The following is an 18,687-nucleotide window of genomic DNA, read 5'->3' on the forward strand; positions in this document are numbered from 1 at the left end:
TTCTGAAGCTCTGTCTCTCTAATTTTCAACAGGAAATAAGGAAAAAAAGAAGAGAACCAATAAGATTTTAGAAGAGGAATATACAATAAACACACTTACAATACATGCAATGAATGAGATCATTGCTTATCCGTTGCTTTTCTTACATTGTTTACTGTTCCTGCAAATAAGAAATACTTGATTTAAAGTGTATAAATATCTGTCTTTGTTGCTACCAATCCACTTAGTGAGAGCCTTGGATTTTGAAATGTTCTATTCAGTAGACCAGCAAATACCAGTAAATCACTTTGCTCCTAGGAGAAATTCAGGGTTAGGTTCCTAGGAACTTGTGGTTACAAGGTTTTGATCAATCAATATACAACCTTGATGTATGTGTGTTTCTGCTTAAATGTGTCTGATTTAATATAAATGTTTGATTCATTAACTTTAAACTCACCACCAATGGCACTGTAACTCATGTCTGAGCAAAGCTTATTTTCTCAGTAAGGTTCATCACAGCCTTATTGTACTTAGGAATATTAGATAGCACTTCAGCACTGCTCTTGGGGGCCATTTTAAATGGCAAAGTCACCAACAAAAGACACAAAATGTGCAAAACACGTGACACTAAATAGACTGCAAAAAAAAAAAAAAAGAGAGAGAGACTTGTTTACAGAATGAGAGCTGAAACAAGAAGGCAGAATGTCACCGTGTTCAACCTCAGCTGGGAATGTGCACTTGGCATGACTCACATTTTTCACAATTCCACACATGTCTGGGAATAACCCCAAAAGTGCCAGGAGAATTAATTTGGAGTTACAAATAAATCACAGTGGATTCATAAATACAGAATCCTCAAACAATGAGGATCAGTTGTGTGTATGCTTACACTTGTATGTATTTACATACAATAATATATCCATTCCACACTGAATTGTGTGGCAGACACTATAGTAAGTATTTTACTTATATCTTCTGCCTTACTATAGTAATTCTGTAATGTGTTTCCGTCACTTTACCTTTAACAAATTGAGGGCTGAACAGTTAAAACCACCTGTGAATGTTCCCATGGATATAAGCAGAATTTAAAACTGGGTCTGACTTCACAGCCTCTGTTTGTGGCCTCTGGTATTTGGTATATCACCTATTTTACAAAGAAAGGAGTTTTGTAAGATCAAGCAAGTGGACAGGGATGATACATTCCTGTTAAATTGGAAAACCACTGTTTTTTACCATCATACTTGACTAAAATTTAAATAACCAAGGTAACTAAATTTGAAAATAAAACTATAGACACTTAACTGCCTATTATTATTCTAATGTATGCTTCCAATTTTTACACATCGAACAAGTATTAATTAAATACCTACTATGTGCCCAGAGGTACAGTCATGAACAGAGGCAGTAATAACTGTGGTCCCTGCAGAGCACACCTCAGAATGGTTCTCTATCCATCCAGCCTTGTTACTGAAGACACACATAACCCTAGGGCCACTTCAAACTCTGAAGGGTCAAAAATGAAAGAAAGGTTATTGCTAAATTTGATGTCATTACCTGTCAAACTAATGATGTCTGGGAATTATATGAAAGATTGCACTCATATCCATTTTTACTGTGAATGATAGATGTGTTCATAAAAGCTTATAACTGAAACAATAACTTTAAGGGATAATGTAGCCACCAGGATAGATTAGACTCTCCTGTAATACCATACAACCGCAAAGTATCACAATAAAGGCTTATTTCTTGTTCGTGCAAAGTCTAACGCAGTTGAATGGCTCTCTTCCATCTTGTAGCCAGGTCTTAACACACAATCAATTGCAAGTCTGGGGCAGATAAAAAGCAAATGGGTGTCTGATAAGCAAAGTCTCTGCTACAGACACAGATGAATGTTCTTATTAATGCTGGATAGAACCTAACCATTCCAATTATGCATAATCTTAAAAATCACTTTGATGAATGGTGGAAAATGGAGAATAACTATAGTTTAAGGATTTTCTTCCATACATCAGATTTCCTCTCATTCATATTTTCTCCAAAAGTAAGTTTCTAAAGAGAAGAGTTAAATGATGTTTTCTTCAGGATTTTGAATGAGATCTTGCTGATATGGATTTATCATAAAAAAAAAGAGGTTGGGGGCAGGCACAGAATCAGGGCCTATGATCTTTGCCAGCTGCCAGCAGTTAACTGGAGTTTGCTCATATACCGGGTTAGTGTCCCCTCAAATTTATGTCCCCCTAGAAGCTCAGAATGTCAATGTTTTTGGAAATAGGTTTTTTGCAACTGTAACTAGTTAAGCTAAAATGAGATCATATTGGATTAAAGTGTGCCCTAAACCCAATGACTGGGGTCTTTTTTCTTGTTTTCCCTAAGACAGGGTTTCACTCTGTCACCCAGGCTGGAGTGCAGTGGTGCAACCTCAGCTCACTGCAGCATCAACCTCCCAGGCTAAATCAATCCTCCCACCTCAGCCTCCCAAGGAGCTTGGACTATAGGCATGTGCCATCATGCCTGGCTAATTTTTATTTTTTTGTAGGGAAAGGGTCTCACTACATTGCCCAGGCTGGTATCAAATTCCTGGGCTCAAGCAATCCTCCAGCCTCAGCCTCCCAGAGTGTTGGAATTACAGGTATGAGCCTGCTCTCAGTCACATCCTTTTCATCAATCTCTATCCCAGGCACCTCCCCAGCTCCTGACTGGTGCACAGCCTGGGAAGACTGCTTCCATTTTATACAGACACTCACCCTAGCACCCGTTGTGAGTTTCTGTATAAAAAACCCTTTGCCTCCTTGATGCATGTTCCTCAAGATCATCCAGTCTCTAGATCAAGAGTCAAACTTTGTATGTAAAGAACCACATAGCAAATATTTTAGGCTTTGTGACCTGGATCATCCCTGTTATAACAACTCACTTCTGCCATTGCAGCATAAAAGCAGCCACAGACAATATGTAAATGAATGAGTGTTATTCCAGCGGCTCTGCCAAGCATTTCAGAAATTCTAGTAAACATGCACCCATCTGGAGAAGGCGACTCAAGTTGCAACTCATTCTGCAGGAGACCCAGAAGATGCTTGATCAAAGGGCAGCTGGAGGGGGTGGAAAGGTAGTGATTCACAGATCCCAACTGCTCACCCTCATCAGACGAAGTAGCTGGCAGAAGCAATGAGTTGTGGTTCAATTATTCCAACACAGAAATCACCCCAGTTCAAGAGCCTGTTATTCACGGGGGTGGGGGCAGCATACCTGAGCAAAATTGTTTCTCTTACATCTTGATTCAGTTGACTGGATTTTCTGTGTTCCTTTTTTTTTCCTTTTGTTTTTATTATAGAAGCAATTTCAAGCCAGCTTGGTTAATTAGGCAGAGCGGTTCCTAGAGGAGCACAAGGCAGCCACCACGTGGAAGGTGAAGCCCTGGAGAAGCTGCTGCTGGGTGTGGCTGCAGGCAGTAAGGGAGGATGGCCATCCGGACTCCATTCAGGGAGCTGTACTTGATAATTCAGGAGGCCATAGTGTGGGTTTTCTTTTCCAGTGCCTCCTGGTCTTTCTCCTGTACTTGCAGTAACTTGAGAACAAGCCTCCACCTTATACTCTAAGGCTAGAATTCAGGTTCCTGTTTTGTTTTCTACGCGTGGTCTCCAGCCCAGCATGCTTGTATTAAATGGTGGTGTCCTGCCATGGTCTTCTCAGCCTATCCTTTCCTAGAACCCAGGACTGCAGCAGGCCTTGCTACCATCTGCCAGGCTTTCCCAACACCGGCACACTGCTGGTTCATTTGCATGCTCCCTGGGCCCAGAGCCTCCGATGCTGGTGCCATCCTCCTATCAGGCCTTCAACCCTTAACCTGGGACACCCCCACAATGCCTACTTCTGCTGTTGGGACTCAAAACAATATCTCAAAATGAAGACCTGAGCAGCAGCCTCAGAAGTGAAGTTTTTCTCTGACATTCTCCTACCCTCCTGTCTCCCAGTCCCATTCTCCCCCAAGGATAGCCTGGAAACCTGCTTCTCCAAGGCAGATCTTAGAAACCAGAACCGCCTTTTCCCCAAAGCCAGCCATAAAACCTAAAAACTATTGATCTAACTTCCCCTCACTCCCCTCACCTTTCTGTGTAAAAACTGACCATAAAGAAATTATCTGTTTGACCTTGCTGGAGAGTAGGACATGAGACCCCCTTTCCAGAGAGGGTCCTGCCCCACACCCAGAAGGAAGGAGTGCTGCTCAGAGAGGCCAAGAAGAATCTAGACAGACAGGCTTTGCTAGGTGTCCCCACTCTGTCCAACAGCATTAGATCGTTCCCTTTTTGTGCAATCATATTTCTACAAGGCTGCCCTTACTTTGTTGAAGTAACCATAAAAATGGCCAATTTCTACTGCATTTGGGTCTTCATTCTGAAGGCGCTCGTGTACACACATTGCATACATTTGCATGTCTTTTCTCCTATTGACCAAACTGCCTCATGTCTGACTACTTGCTCCCTCTAGTAGGAGGCCTTGCTTTCTCTGCTCCCTGCCAACAGCTGGGTTGACACCAACCCAAGCCAGGAGCCAGTTTAGCTTCCTAGGCCCTCTGATCTGTCTGGTGCTGCCACTTTCCAAGATCCTTTCTGCTCAAAGCAGTGACAGAGGGGAATGGATGGGAGGGCAAGCTGCAGAAGGGGGTATAAGCTGGGTGTGAAGGGGGAGCTGGCGCAAGGCAGGCCCAACCTGAGCCATAGCTTTCGGTGCACCACACCCTATTCGTTCCCTTCTTGCCTATCCAGCAACCTGGTTTCTGCAACAGGGAGGGCTGAGCTAGTCCCATGAACAGCCAAGACTAAGCCATTAAGTAAAGGCTGTACTTCGCTTTTTCCTTTTCCTTTGGAATGTATTGATGATGGCTAACAAATTACACTCGAGTTCTATTTCCCAGATCTGAGGGTGTTTGAATTCAGGAAAACAATTGGATGCTTGGTTGTCTTGAAGCTGTATTTAAATTCACAAAGAACTGGTTTTGCCATGTGGCAATTTTTTTTTTTTTTTTTTTTTTTTTTTTTTTTTTTGCAGAAAGAATAACTCTCCCATTTGCTAATTGATGTGATAAGCAAACACACACCTTCTCCTCTTCCATCATTACCTCCAAAATTTAATTTAACAGTAATATTCTGCTTCAGCAGAGAGAACAAATGGACTGGTTATTAATTCATGGAAAACAGGTAAAAATTTTCCAGTGACTGTTTTTTTGAGGTGTCTATTTTAAGAGATTTGATGGGGAGTAGGTTACAAGGTGAATATGCAACATTTAAGGGAGCAAGAATCAGGAGTTTCAATTGACTGGCTGCTTGTCAAAGGCTGAAACACAACCTGTGCCCCCAAACATACTGAGCTTGTCTCCAGATTTCATGTGTTTTGCAACCTCATCCTATGCCTGAATGTCACAGCCACCTTTACAAAAACAATGTTGTTTAGTTAAACTAAATAGAAAAATACAGTAAAATGATTCCTTGTGATTCTCTAGGTAAAAGAATACATTTTTTCTTAAGAAAAACAGTGGTAAGGATAAAAGCCAAGCATTGTTTTAGGCTCTCTCCAGTTTGCAAAATGCCATTTACAAAATAATTACACCTACAGTTTATGCATGATTCATTAGACAGCAGATAAAATGTACTGCTAAATTTTAATCGCATGGAAAGAGTAGGCACCATGAAATACGCCCCCAACTTCTCTGGATTCTAACCTGTTTGGTCACATTTCTGCCACAACATAAATCTTGTCCAAATAGTTTATCTTGATTAAATTATAACAGTGTTTTAGTTTCATGATGTGATAGACCTCTGAAGAATTTATTTTAGTTAAGCAATTAGAAGGTCAAATCATCGGTTATCAATATTTAAGGTTTTACTTGTGAAAGTTAATAGGCTTGAATCACAGGATCTCCTGCAAGATGAATCACAGGATCCCCTGCAAAGATGATGAGAATGTCATCTCAGAAAAAAAAATAAATAAATCAGTTCTTGGCACACTAAAGTACTTTTAAAGATTATAGTTTTCCTTTCTTTTCCTCCCACTCTCCCCTGCCAAGGTAAAAAAAAGGATGATGTCCTGCATTATAGACATTGGTAGGGGACCTCTCTATTACACATGACACAGCATGCATGATCCACACTAATTGCAGACGGAATCTAGAAAACAGAATAGATATCACATCTTATATAATACACAGTAGGAATGATAGACAATGCACACAGCTCTTCAGCAGATGCAAGCTGCTGCATTACTTCATCGAAAGGAACTAGGGTGATAGAATGAGCACCTGAAATGGTATTTAGGGGTCTTAGGACAGCCAGGTCTGCTGAGGTCAGCCACTCATCCCTTTAGGCTTTGAATGACGTCTACCATTAGGCTCTGGTTCTGGCAACTGCGTCTGAAGGAGGAGCATGATCTGCAAGACAGGCCAGCACTTGGTTTTCAGGGTCTCCCCACGATCACTGTTCCTGCACGTACCTGTGGTCTTTAATGGGGTCTTCTCTCCTAGCAAGAGTTTTAACCTCTTGGCGTGGATTTTGCCTTGATAATGGGAATCGGCCACCACCGCTGAAGTGAATGACATGTTGCAGAGTGTGCAGCACTTGTTCTTATCCACCATGTCGGCATCACTTCCCTGCGCAGGGAGAAAGAAAGGCCACGTGTGAGAGAAACCCATTCCATTCTTTTACAAATGAGACTTACCCAGACGAACTAGTGTATTGAAATATCTAGTTTTTGTTCTGCAAGCTGTCTCTCTCTCTTTTTGCCTTGCTTTCTACTCTCTTCTTTTTTAAAAAATTTTTTTATTATACTTTAAGTTCTGGGATACATGTGCAGAAAGTGCAGGTTTGTTACATAGGTATACATGTGCCATGGTGGTTTGCTGCACCCACCAACCTGTCATCTACATTAGGTATTTCTCCTAATGCTATCCCTCCCCTAGCCCCCCCACCCCCTGACCGGCCCCGGTGCAATCTCTTTTTCTTCATGATAATCATCATCAAAACTTACTCAGTGACTGACTTTGACATACAGTTAGTAGCTATTAATGCCAGATACTGGGATTTCAGGACAAATTTGTAGAGATGAGTTATCCAAATAAAAACGGGGCCCACAATTAAGAGAGGGCACATTGAGCCTGGCATGGTGAAGGAAAGCAGTCTCTAATTGGACCCATTATACTCATTAAAGTCTGTAAAATATCAGAGTTCAGATAGCCTGAATTATTTAGCAGAAATTATCATTTGTTATTCCGCTCTGCTTTTGACCAATTTTAGCCTCACCAGGATACATGGCCATGATGTTCAAGATTTTTAGAGATTTCTTTAAGGAATTGAGTGTTTTTCATAATTAACTCGATTCTGTATCATAAAGCTATGATGACTGTGCTGGCTGGATTTTCTGGGAGAGTTTGTGTAATTTTCCTTTTTTTCAGGAAAGGTGATTCATTAAATGCTGCACAAAATGCTTAAATCCAGCTGGATTTTTATTCCTTTGTAATACTTAATGAAAATGAATCATAATTCAGAAAAAAATAAAACCTTGGTCAGACCATGTGACCTGCTATTGTGCTCGCAGGTCATCAATTACCTATACTTATGAAGGGAAGGAGTAATCCATTGCTTCCCCTCCTGCTTAGTTAGAAATGGAGGGCAGAACAGACTTTTAAATAAGAAGTTAATCTATTCCTTAATGGTGCAGCAATAGCCGAACATCTCTTTGTTAAAGAGCAAGCTGGAATGAGTATATGGCCCCACAATGGCCGCTTCTCTTATTCCTAGTGAGCCCAGACAGTACAATTTAAAATTGGATGGTGAGGAGGATGAGGGTGGCAACTGGTTGGAGGAAGGGAATTACATATTTTATCTGCATAGTAATAAGATGTCCAGACTGCTAGAGAGAGTGTTGCCTTGCAAATTATGTGGTAGTTAGGAAATGAATTCCTTCCTCCTTAAGACATTAGTCTGTAATATCTCTGATAATTAGCATTTCATCCTTGGAAGGAAGGGGTTGTGTGTGTGTCCCAGGAGCAGGAGGCTTGCCTGAAGTTCAGGGAGAGACTTCAAACATTGGGGCTGGGATGGAGGTTGTCAGTGAGTGGAAGGGACCACTGGAGAGAGGAGGGGCTTTCCCAATAGGTCCTCTCCTGCTAGGAAATCTAGTAGCCCTGAGGCTGTGCTCATTGGCAATACTCTCGCTGAGGGTTTAAAGCCAAAGTGCTTTCAGTTTTCTCCATAGAGAAAAAAACAAAATAGTACGAATACTTTTAGTTCTGTGTGGAATACTATGGAAATGAAATGGACCTGGAGGTAAGGGGCAGGGTTGGCTTCCTGGCTCCCCTGAGCTACCTACCTCCTCAGTCAAGCCTAGGAGACAGGATGGAAGCCAGGGAGATGGCATATACCAGGATCACCAGGAAGAGGCAAATCAGGGAGTTCCTGAAGGGTTCCAGCCCATTAAATGAGGAGTAGATTATGCAAGAGGAATGAGAGACCAAACTTGGTGCCTCTTTACTACATGCTGGAGGATATATATTTGTCTCACTTTTTAAAATTTGTGTACATTTGAGGGATACAAGTGCAGTTTTGTGACACAGATATATTGCAGAACGGTGAAGTCTGGGCTATTAGCGTAACAAAGAACTAAAAATAGAACTATCATGTGATCCAGAAATCCCACTAATGGGTATCTACCCAAAGGAAAAAAAAATCATTGTGTTAAAAAGATAACTTCACTCTTATGTTTATTGCAGCACTATTCACAATAGCAAATATATTGAATCAACATAAGTGTCCATCAATAGACGATTGGATAAAGAAAATGTAAATGCACACACACACACACACACACACACCATGGAATACTACTCAGCCATAAAAAAGAATGAAATCAAGTCTTACCCTTTTTTAAAAAGGAAGATTATCAGGGTGAAAGTGAGTGTTTGAATTATACCATTTTTTTAACTACTTACGCATGACATAGGTCAAAGCGTGTAATTTTTTAAAATTAGGAACAAGTTCATAAGCCAGAGCTTAATTCTCAGTCTTAGAATCTGTGTATCTGTTCATCTGTGCATTCTCTTTAGAATCTATGCATCTGTTCCACCACTTCCAGTGAAAACTCCAGCCATGCCTGGCCTTTCTCCCTGAAGCTCTAACTGGTAGAAATGCCTAAAGAAAGTCTAGAGGCCCAGACATAGAGGCCAGCATCACCATACAAAATGACTGAGAACTAGTTTCCAGGACAAAGAGTTGCCCTTAATGAATGAAAAATGGACTTATGGTATGTATTTACCCAACACATTTTTAAGGACCTACTAATTGTGTTAGGTGCTGTGGTAGATGAATATGACTCCATGCCCTGTTATCAAGGAGGCTGGCACCAGGAGAATTGGAGAAGTAGACAGAAAATAAGGGGAAGTATTATAATCAAAGAACTAGAGTCTCATATTGGACTCACATACTCCTAATTGTAAGATTAAAAAAAAAACATTAATGTAAATCAGGACTGTGTGGGTTTTCATCTTTAAGCCTTCTTAAAGGAAATGCTGGAATGCCCTTTTGAATCACTTCGTGTCTAATTCAGTCGTACCAGAATCTGTCTTCCTGGCTCATCACTTCCTTGAGGGGAAGCTGCTGCTTTTCTTTTTTTTTTTTTTTTTTTTTTTGGCTACAGAGTCTTGTTCTGTCACTCAGGCTGGAGTGCAGTGGTGCTATCGTAGCTCATTATAGCCTGGAACTCCTTAGGTTCAAGCAATCCTTTCACCTCAACCTCCAGAGTAGCTAGGATCACAGGCACATGCCACTACACCTGGATAATACTTTTTTATTGTTTGTAGAGAGAGAATGTCTACAACCTGTTTTCCGGGCTGGCCTCGAACTCCTAGGCTCAAGCAATGCTCTTGCTTTGGCCTCCCAAAGTGCTGGGATTGTAGGAGTGAGCCACTGTACCAGCCTGAAACTCCTTCTGGCTCCCTCTACTGTCTGGGAGAAGTGAGAACCAGCCTTTGGGTCTCCTGGGTGCCTTGTACATTCTTCTTCTACAGAACATGGAATTATTGCACTTACTTGTTTTCATATTTGTCTGCCTCATGAGATGGCAAAACTTCTTTAAGGTCTAGGAAACTGTCTCATTGATAGTGAGGAGCCAGCACCTAGCACCACATTTACCACACTGGAGGACCTTCAAGTGTGTACTGAATGAGTGGAGCAGAGGGTTCATTTGTGGGATTAGTAACTTGTATGACATAAAAGTCAAAAGAGGAGGCAGGTAACACAGGGAGGTCTATGGCAACCCACCATTTTTCCAACTGACAGAAAGATGGCCAGGTAAAGAACCAGAGGTGACAACAATTTATAAACCAACTTGAGGGTTCAGTAGGGAAATATGTTAGTTTCACAATGGTAGTTTTAATATATATTCCTAGATTTCTGCTCTCCTGAGCAATCTCATTATCATATAGAAAAATTAAAAATAATAGAAGAGGAAAACCAATTCTTATACAATAATGTATCATGGGATATAGGTATGCCATAGTTGTAAAAGAGGGACCAGGCAATTTTAGGTACCTGACAATAGAGGGGCTGTGAGGCCCTGAAAAGTTAGGCAGCCTTTCATGCCAACAGTACACACTTAGTGAGATACTTTACAAAAGGGGCCAGTTATTCACATAGTGCAATTCTAACTGCCACTAACACTAACTGCTCTAATGACGCTGGTGGATACACAACTATGCAGAATTTTTTTTTTTTTTTTTTTTTTTTTTTTTGAGATGGAGTCTCACTCTGCCTCCCAGGCTGGAGTGCAGTGTCACGATCTCGGCTCACTGCAACCTCCACCTCCTGGGTTCCAGTGATTCTCCCATCTCAGCCTCCTGAGTAGCTGGGATTACAGGTGCACACCCTATGCCTGGCTAATTTTTTGTATTTTTAGTAGAGATGGGGTTTCACCATGTTGGCCAAGCTAGTCTCGAACTCCTGACCTGAAGTGATCTGTCCACCTTGGCCTCCCAAAGTGCTGGGATTACAGGCATCAGCCACCACTGCCCAGCCCACTATGCAGAGTTTTAACTGCATATTCTTAGCCACCAAAATCCCAAATTAATGGCTCTTTGCAACTCTAGATTATATCATCTGCTATGGTTTGAATATGTTGGAAACTTAATCCCCAATGCAACAGTGTTGAGAGATGGGACCTTTAAGAAGGCTGAGCCCCCATGAATGGATTAATGCTGTTATGGAGAGAGGGGGTTTGTTATCAAGAGAGTGGGATTGCTGTAAAAGCAAGTTCAACCCTCACTTGCTTTCGGTCACCGTGTGATGCCCTCCACCATGTTATGACACAGCAAGAAAATCCTCACCAGATCCAACCCCTCAATCTTGGACTTCCCAGCTTCTAGAACCATGAGCTGAATACATTTATGTTCATTATGAATTACTCAGGCTGTGGTGTTCTGTTACAGTAGCACAAAAAGAATTAGGACATCACTTTCATTAGAGTATCTTGCTGCATCCAGAGCAAGGTTGATATATAGCCCGGGGTAGAAACTCCATACAGTTTGATTAATTGACCTCAATGAATATATTTAAAGTTTCTGGCTTAAAGATTATCTTTAAAATATGAGTTTCAAACTGGAGGCAAAAATTCAGTCAGACTGTTTAAATGCAACGTCCACATTGCTGAAAGAAATAAAAAGAATGTTTGTGGAGTAACCTAAGGCTGCTCAGTCAAAGCATTTTGCAAAGTTAAAAAGTTTTCAGAAGAATTCAATCAGGATGGAAAACCTCACTGACTGGCTAGAAATTTAATCCCCAAACACCTTTCCCTTTTGTTATAAAGATTTCTTTAATTTAATTCAGATGATTGTCCTCATTCTCTTTTGCTTTAGGTGAAGGTAGAAAGCCTAAGAGAGAGGCATGCACTTTCAGAATGGCAGAGTGAGGAGTTCGGTGAAACTCCTTATGGAGAAAACACACGAGTTAGCTAAGCTTCACTCAGGCATGCGTCATAGTGCTGCTGGCCTTGAGTTCAATGTGAAGCAATCACTACTACTTACATCCAGAAGGAGAGAGAGAAAATTCACTGGTCTGTATGTGAGACCACTCCAGAAAATGCTAAAGAAACACGCATAGAGAGTAATGGAGCGATGGAAAACAGTTGTCTAAATTTGTGAATTCCAGAGATAACAATCGATTAAAAAGCATAGTGGATAGCAGTGTTGTGAGGCTAAAAAGCAAAGAAATTTACTATATATATATATATTCAATAAGGTGTCTCTAAACAGAAACACACACAAAACAAGGTTACATATGGATGGATTGACAAAAATATTGTGACCAGAGGTCTCCCAGACCTAATCCTGAATTTTACTTAGAAGCAGTGGCTCAGCATTTGCTAATTCAGTGTTGATGACAACTTTATAGAACATAGCTACTGTGGAAAATGAGAACTGAATGTATTTCATTCAAGAGAAATAAAAATATATGTCCACATAAAAATTTTTACATGAGTTTTTATAGCCACATCATTCATAATAGCCCAAAGTGGAAACAGCCCAAATGTCTGCCAACTGCAGAGGGAGTAAATAAAATGTGGTATGTCCATACAATGGCATGGTATTTGCAACCAAAAGATTAAAGAACTGATACAGGCTACTGTATGGATGAATCTTGAAAACATTATGCTAAATAAAAGAAGCCAATCCATCACAAAAGACCACATAATGTATGACTCTGTTTATGTGATATTTCCAGAATAAGAAAATCTATAAATACAGAGAGTGAATTAGTGATTGTCTAGGAATCAGAGGGCAGTGGGGGAGCAGGGAGGAGGGAGATGGGAGGGGAAATGAGGAGTGATTGCTAATGGGTAAAGAGTTTCCAAGGTTACTGTAGATCTGGCAGTCACACGGCTCTGTGAATATACCTAAAACCCTTGAATTTTATACTTTAAAAATAGGTGAGTTTTGTGACATATGAATTGTATCTCAATATTCTGTTCTAGAGGAAAAGTCTAAAAGATTCATTTAAATGATTTCAAAAGCCCAAAGATATGTTGAAATTTGAAGCTTAAGGTGTTGTTTTTTCTCTTTTCCAGGCATCCTCTTCTTGTAGGTGAAACTCTTTCAGGAAGCGAATCATAATGAGGAGTATTTTGTTCATGATGGCTCCCATGTAGTATATGGAATTTCTTTGAGCACTGGCTAGACATTCTAAAATCCTGATCACTGGTGTTGATTTTGGCAAGACATTCTGTGGCTATAATGAAACTCCACTTGCAGCTGCTACTAAGCTATACCTGAAGGCAACAGTCATCTGATACCTTCTGCTAGACGCAGAAATAACTGCACCTCTCAGCACATACCCTGTAGTAAGATAGAATGTCCAATAAACGCCACTATTTCCAGTGTTATGCATGTTGCTCCTTATATTCTGGTACTTAACTTTGGAGAAAAGCAGAATGCAGAAAATGATGTCTCTTCTCTCCCACTTTACTGGGATCAGAAGGCCTGGAAGTCACATTTCCTGATTGACTACAGGGTCCTGGGTAACGTTATCTCCCACTGTTCTCTCTCATGCATCCCTTTCCACTCCATTTGGGTCAAGCTGTTCTCTCTCCTCCTGACCTGTTTAAGTCACATCCAGATATTAAGGTCCATTTTCTCCAAGAGTTATTTCAAGACGTCTGCAAATTTCATCCACATCTTCCTTCCTGACCTCTCCCAGTCCTTAACATCCTTGCCATACATTTTGATTTGGTCCTGCCCTTTAATTGCTTTATTAGCATTTTGTTTTTGTTTTAGAATTGTCTTTCTAAAAACATCTTAAAGGCAGGAAATTTATAAGAACTTTAGAAGTTATCCTCCCATCATAGCCAGTGCCTGACACAGGTCTGGATTTATAAAACAGACTTGATAAACATGAACTAAATAGTTGAACGACTTGACATGGCCATTCATTAACCATTTCTAATTTGGTCACTTAACTCTGTTTTCCACCTAATGTACTATCTCCCTCGTTTTCTTACCAATATGACTGCTTTGTCTTAGGAAAAGGCCAATTGGCATAAAGTGGCATCATACTCTGTACTGAAATGGATATAACTGCAATGACATGTTATTGTGTGAGTTTGTCCACATACAAAGGATGTGTCCTATGGCTAGAAGGTGGGTGATGTTCAGAGTCCCATGGGGAAGCTGTAGTGTCTACAGGAAGGATGGCATGAACTAGACAGATATATGCCCTGCTGTTTGGATACAAACTACACACTCTGTGGATGAAAACTCCCAATTTCCATAGTATTGGGGGAAATGGTAATTTTTGACAATAAAGGAAAGACAGAATGAAGATTTCTACTGAAGAGAGTTGAAGAATTTTGTTTGCCTTTGGAATTTGGATGGCTTTAGCTTGTTTTTTCAGTCATTGAAGAAATATTTAAACAGATGGTCACATTAGTTGCAAGACCCCAAAAGGGAGAAATTAGCCAGAGTTCCTGAGAGAGGACAACTATGTAAGTTAGATAAGCCCCACTAACCAAGAGAAGTGGCTAAGAAAATGCTGCAAATGAATAGAGGGGCCCGAGAGAGCAAAGGTGGGATGAGAGGCAGGTGGGAAGATCACAGCACTTATTTCACAGTCTAGAATTAGATGACTTAGATATTTAAATGTGCTTATTTACTATCTGTCTCTGACCACTATTCAATATTGTACACTCAGTATCTAGAGCAGCATCGTCCAATAGAAATACAGTACAAGCTGTAAATGAGGCCACATTTAAATATTCTAAATGACATATCTTTGAAAAAATGAACCACAAAATTAATTTCAAAAAACATTTTTTCAAATTTATTTTTTAATTGACAGATAAAATTCTATGCATTTGAAGCATATATACATTGTGGAATGGTTAAATCTAGTTAATTAACATATGTATTGCCTCACATAGCAATAATTTTTGTGGCAAGAGCACTTAACACCAACTGTCTTGGCATTTTTCAATAATATAATCTATTATCATTAGCTATAGTCACCATGCTGTACAATAGCTCTCTTAAACTTATTTCTTCTTTCCTTTCAGGAAGTATTCAACATAAAAATTATTAATGAGGTATTTTATATTCTTTTTCTCATACTAACACTTCCAAATCAAGTGTATATTTCACACTGATAGCACATCTCAATTCAGACTATCTGCATTTCAAGTGTTCAATAGCACTTTTGAGTGAGTGGCTACTGCATTAGACCATGTAGCTCCAGAACTGAGTATTTACTTATTTATTTATTTATTTATTATTGGTTGTTTTTTCTTTTGAGACAGAGTCTCGCTCTGTCACCCAGGCAACAGTGATGCGATCTCAGCTCACTGCGAACTCAGCCTCCCAGATTCAAGCGATTCTCCTGCCTCAGACTCCTGAGTAGCTGGGACTACAGAAATGTACCACCATGTCCAACTAATTTTTTGTATTTGTTTAGTAGAGACGGGGTTTCACCGTGTTAGACAGGATGGTCTCAATCTCCTGACCCCGTGATCCACCCACCTCAGCCTCCCAAAGTGCTGGGATTACAGGCGTGAGCCACTGCGCCCAGCCAGAACTAATTATTAAATATCAGTTGAACTTAAAAATGAATGAATAAATGAGGTGTCAGTGGATAAATACATAAATAAATTCCCAATTTTAACAGATCAAGAAAATGAAGCTCAGAGGGTTTAAATAAATTCTTCAATATGTCATCTTTTCAGAAAGTGGTGGGACTGATTTTTGAATTTTTGGCCGAATTCATGGACACACTGGCATCTTAGGTCAGTCTTCTTGTCAAAAACTCTCAACCACACTTTACTACCCCAAAATAAATTCCTTATCATGACATTTAAATTCCGCTAACATCTAACACTCAATACACTTTTCTAGTCTTTTCCTCCACGGGTGCTTTTCAGACATAATATGCTCCAAGCAAATTGATTTTTTTCAAGGTTAGGAACACCAAGCAGCCTGCCAAGAAAATGGCTCAGAATCCCAGCACTAAAATCCTCTGCTCCTCATCTCCCGGCTGCCTGTTTTTGTTGGATGCTGCAGGTAAGTGAAGATTCAGTCCCACTGAAAGGTTTCACTTTCGAATCAGGTGGGGAGCACACCTCTCCCCCACTAGACTAAGCTCCTTCCCTATCTATCTTTCTATCTCTGCCCTGGCACATAGTAACTTAAAAACTCATTGAATGATGAGTGTATGAAGAAAAACTAAACAGTTGATTCAACTCTCGCTCTCCTCCAGCTACGTTAAGGATATGTCTACCTGTCTTTGTTCACATGGTTCACTCCAACTAGAAATGCCCCGTCTCTCTATATGCAAGGGCCACTCAGATGCAGTCTCCTTCATTAGGCTTCCCCGGGACATCCCACCACAAAGACAGCTGATGCTTCCTCACTCCCACAGAACTTCCTTCAGGCCTGCCCCCCCACCCCCCCACCCCCATCTGACAGCACTAAGCATATATCTTATTGTCTCTCATTGAAACTCAATTATTTGGGCTGAAAAGGTGTCATCTCTAACCCCCAGCACAGTGTTTTATGTAATGTGGTACTAAAAAATAGAATATTAAGTTTAAAAGAGCAGATTCAGATTCAAAAGATACTTGATGAAGCTTTGGCTGTAAGTGTATTGGATATCACTTATAATTATTAAACATGAAATTCCTCCTCTGTCACATGGGGAGTAAAACCTACCCTATCTGCCTATTCATAAAAAGATAAAAGAATGCATTGTATGGAAACACACTTTGTAATCCAGAAAATACTATTCAAACATATTTGTATGTAAGTCAAATATCTTTGTGTGTGAGTATGTATATGTGTGTGTATACATACATATAAGTATATGTGTGTATATAAAGTATGTGTATGTATGTCTGTGTGTATATACATGTAATCAAATGGTTTAAAAGAATAGATACATATTATCTCATTTCATTTACTTCATGAAATTGACTTATATTTGATGTTTTTTCACTTATTTAGTGGTGTATATGTTCAATACCATTCTTTTCCTATTATATGTCTTGAGGGTAGAAACTCTGTTTTGTTCATAGCTATATCCTTGGTGTCTATAATAGGACCTGCCATAGACCATTTAATAAATATCTATCGATTGATGAAAACTACGTACATACAAAATAAAATGAGAGTTCTCAGAAAATGTTGGCAGCAGTGGTATCGTTTTTTTAAAATCTCTCTAAATTCCCAAATAAAAATAGAACTAGAAAGGCAAATAAAAAACTCACAGATAATATTTATTACAAAACTAGGTGACATGGTTGTTCTCATGAACCTCAAAAATAAGTGAATGGAAATAAACCAGTAATAGCACAAAATCTGCATGCTATCAGCATCTGTGCAGGGAAATAGAGTGAGGCAATGAGAGCTCTGCTGGACCTGGAGCCAGAGGAACCCTCAATAGCAGCAGGTATTCACAGAAAGCCTGGCAGCCCTGTGTGAGAACAGCAGCTGGCATCAGGAGCGCATGTCCCATCCCCACAGCAGATTATAAGAGAGGTCTGTGGAGAGCCTGGAGGGGCAGACACAGCCTAGACCTGCAAATTTTCTGTACAACCCACCAGAACTTTTTTCAGACCACAGCTTCATACTGAGGAGAAACTGCTGAGAGTAGAATTAAAACTGAGGACAAAAACAATGGAGACAAAGCAAAGGTTCAGACAAATGTGGGGGAGAGTGGAGCTAATACACTTCCGTAAACAAACCATTCTGTTCTTAAACACTATGCTACACTACACACACACACATACACACTCTTTCTCTCTCTCTCTCTCTCTCTCTCTCTCTCTCTCTCTCTCAAAGAAGCTCTGTTAAGTTAGGAAAGCAATCTTGATTTTTTTTTTTTTTTTTGAGAGTGAGTCTTGCTCTGTCACCCATGCTGCAGGGCAGTGAGTGGCGCAATCTCAGCTCACTGCAACCTCCGCCACCCAGGTTCAAGTGATTCTTCTGCATCAGCCTCCCGAGTAGCCGGAATCACAGGTGCGCACCACCGCGACAGCTAATTTTTGTATTTTTAGTAGAGATGGGCTTTCACCATGTTGGCCAGGCTAGTCTCGAGCCCTCAACCTCAGGTAATCCACCCACCTCGGCCTCCCAAAGTGCTGGGATTACAGGCATAATCCCAGCAAACAAACCAAAACAAAACAAACTATAAATTGAGAAAACTCTCCTACAATTAAAATTAAAGGAAGTATAAGCAGTCATCCTTCAGTATCCATGGGGAATTGGTTCCAGGACCCCCTACAGTTGTCAAAGTCTGCAAATGCTCAAGTCCTTGAAAGAAAATGTCAGCGTTTGCATATAACCTACATGCATCCTCCTGTAGACTTTAAATCATCCCTGCATTACTTATAGTACCTAAGAGAATATAAATGCTATGCTAATAGTTATACTGTATCTTTTATTTGTATTATTTTTATTGTTGTATTTTTTTTATTGTTGTATTATTTTTATTTCATTTTATCAAATATTTTTGACCTGCAGTTGGTTGAATCCATGAATGTGGAGCCCATGAATATGGAGGGCCAACTGTATTGAAAGAGCCTCATGTATACCCCTAAATGTCAACCCAAAACAATCAACACAAAAAAATTTTTCAGTAAAATTACTAAACCGTATAGAAAGATATTTTTAAATTACCTGAGCCTTTAAGAAAAAGA

At 40.1% G+C, this 18,687-nt stretch overlaps 1 protein-coding gene across 7 annotated transcripts in view; it reads right to left on the reverse strand.

The window, feature by feature from the left end:
- Positions 1-18,687, reverse strand: part of ZMAT4 (zinc finger matrin-type 4) — a 367,237-nt gene that overhangs the window by 160,196 nt on the left and 188,354 nt on the right. For all 7 annotated transcript variants that reach the window (NM_001135731.2, NM_024645.3, XM_017013836.3 and 4 more), the window contains one exon: positions 6,460-6,616. In NM_001135731.2, the coding sequence (NP_001129203.1) occupies positions 6,460-6,616 (157 nt within the window). The remainder of the gene's footprint in view (positions 1-6,459; positions 6,617-18,687) is intronic.

Source organism: Homo sapiens, chromosome 8 (genome assembly GCF_000001405.40).
Source record: "Homo sapiens chromosome 8, GRCh38.p14 Primary Assembly".
Taxonomy (NCBI): Eukaryota; Metazoa; Chordata; class Mammalia; order Primates; family Hominidae; genus Homo; species Homo sapiens.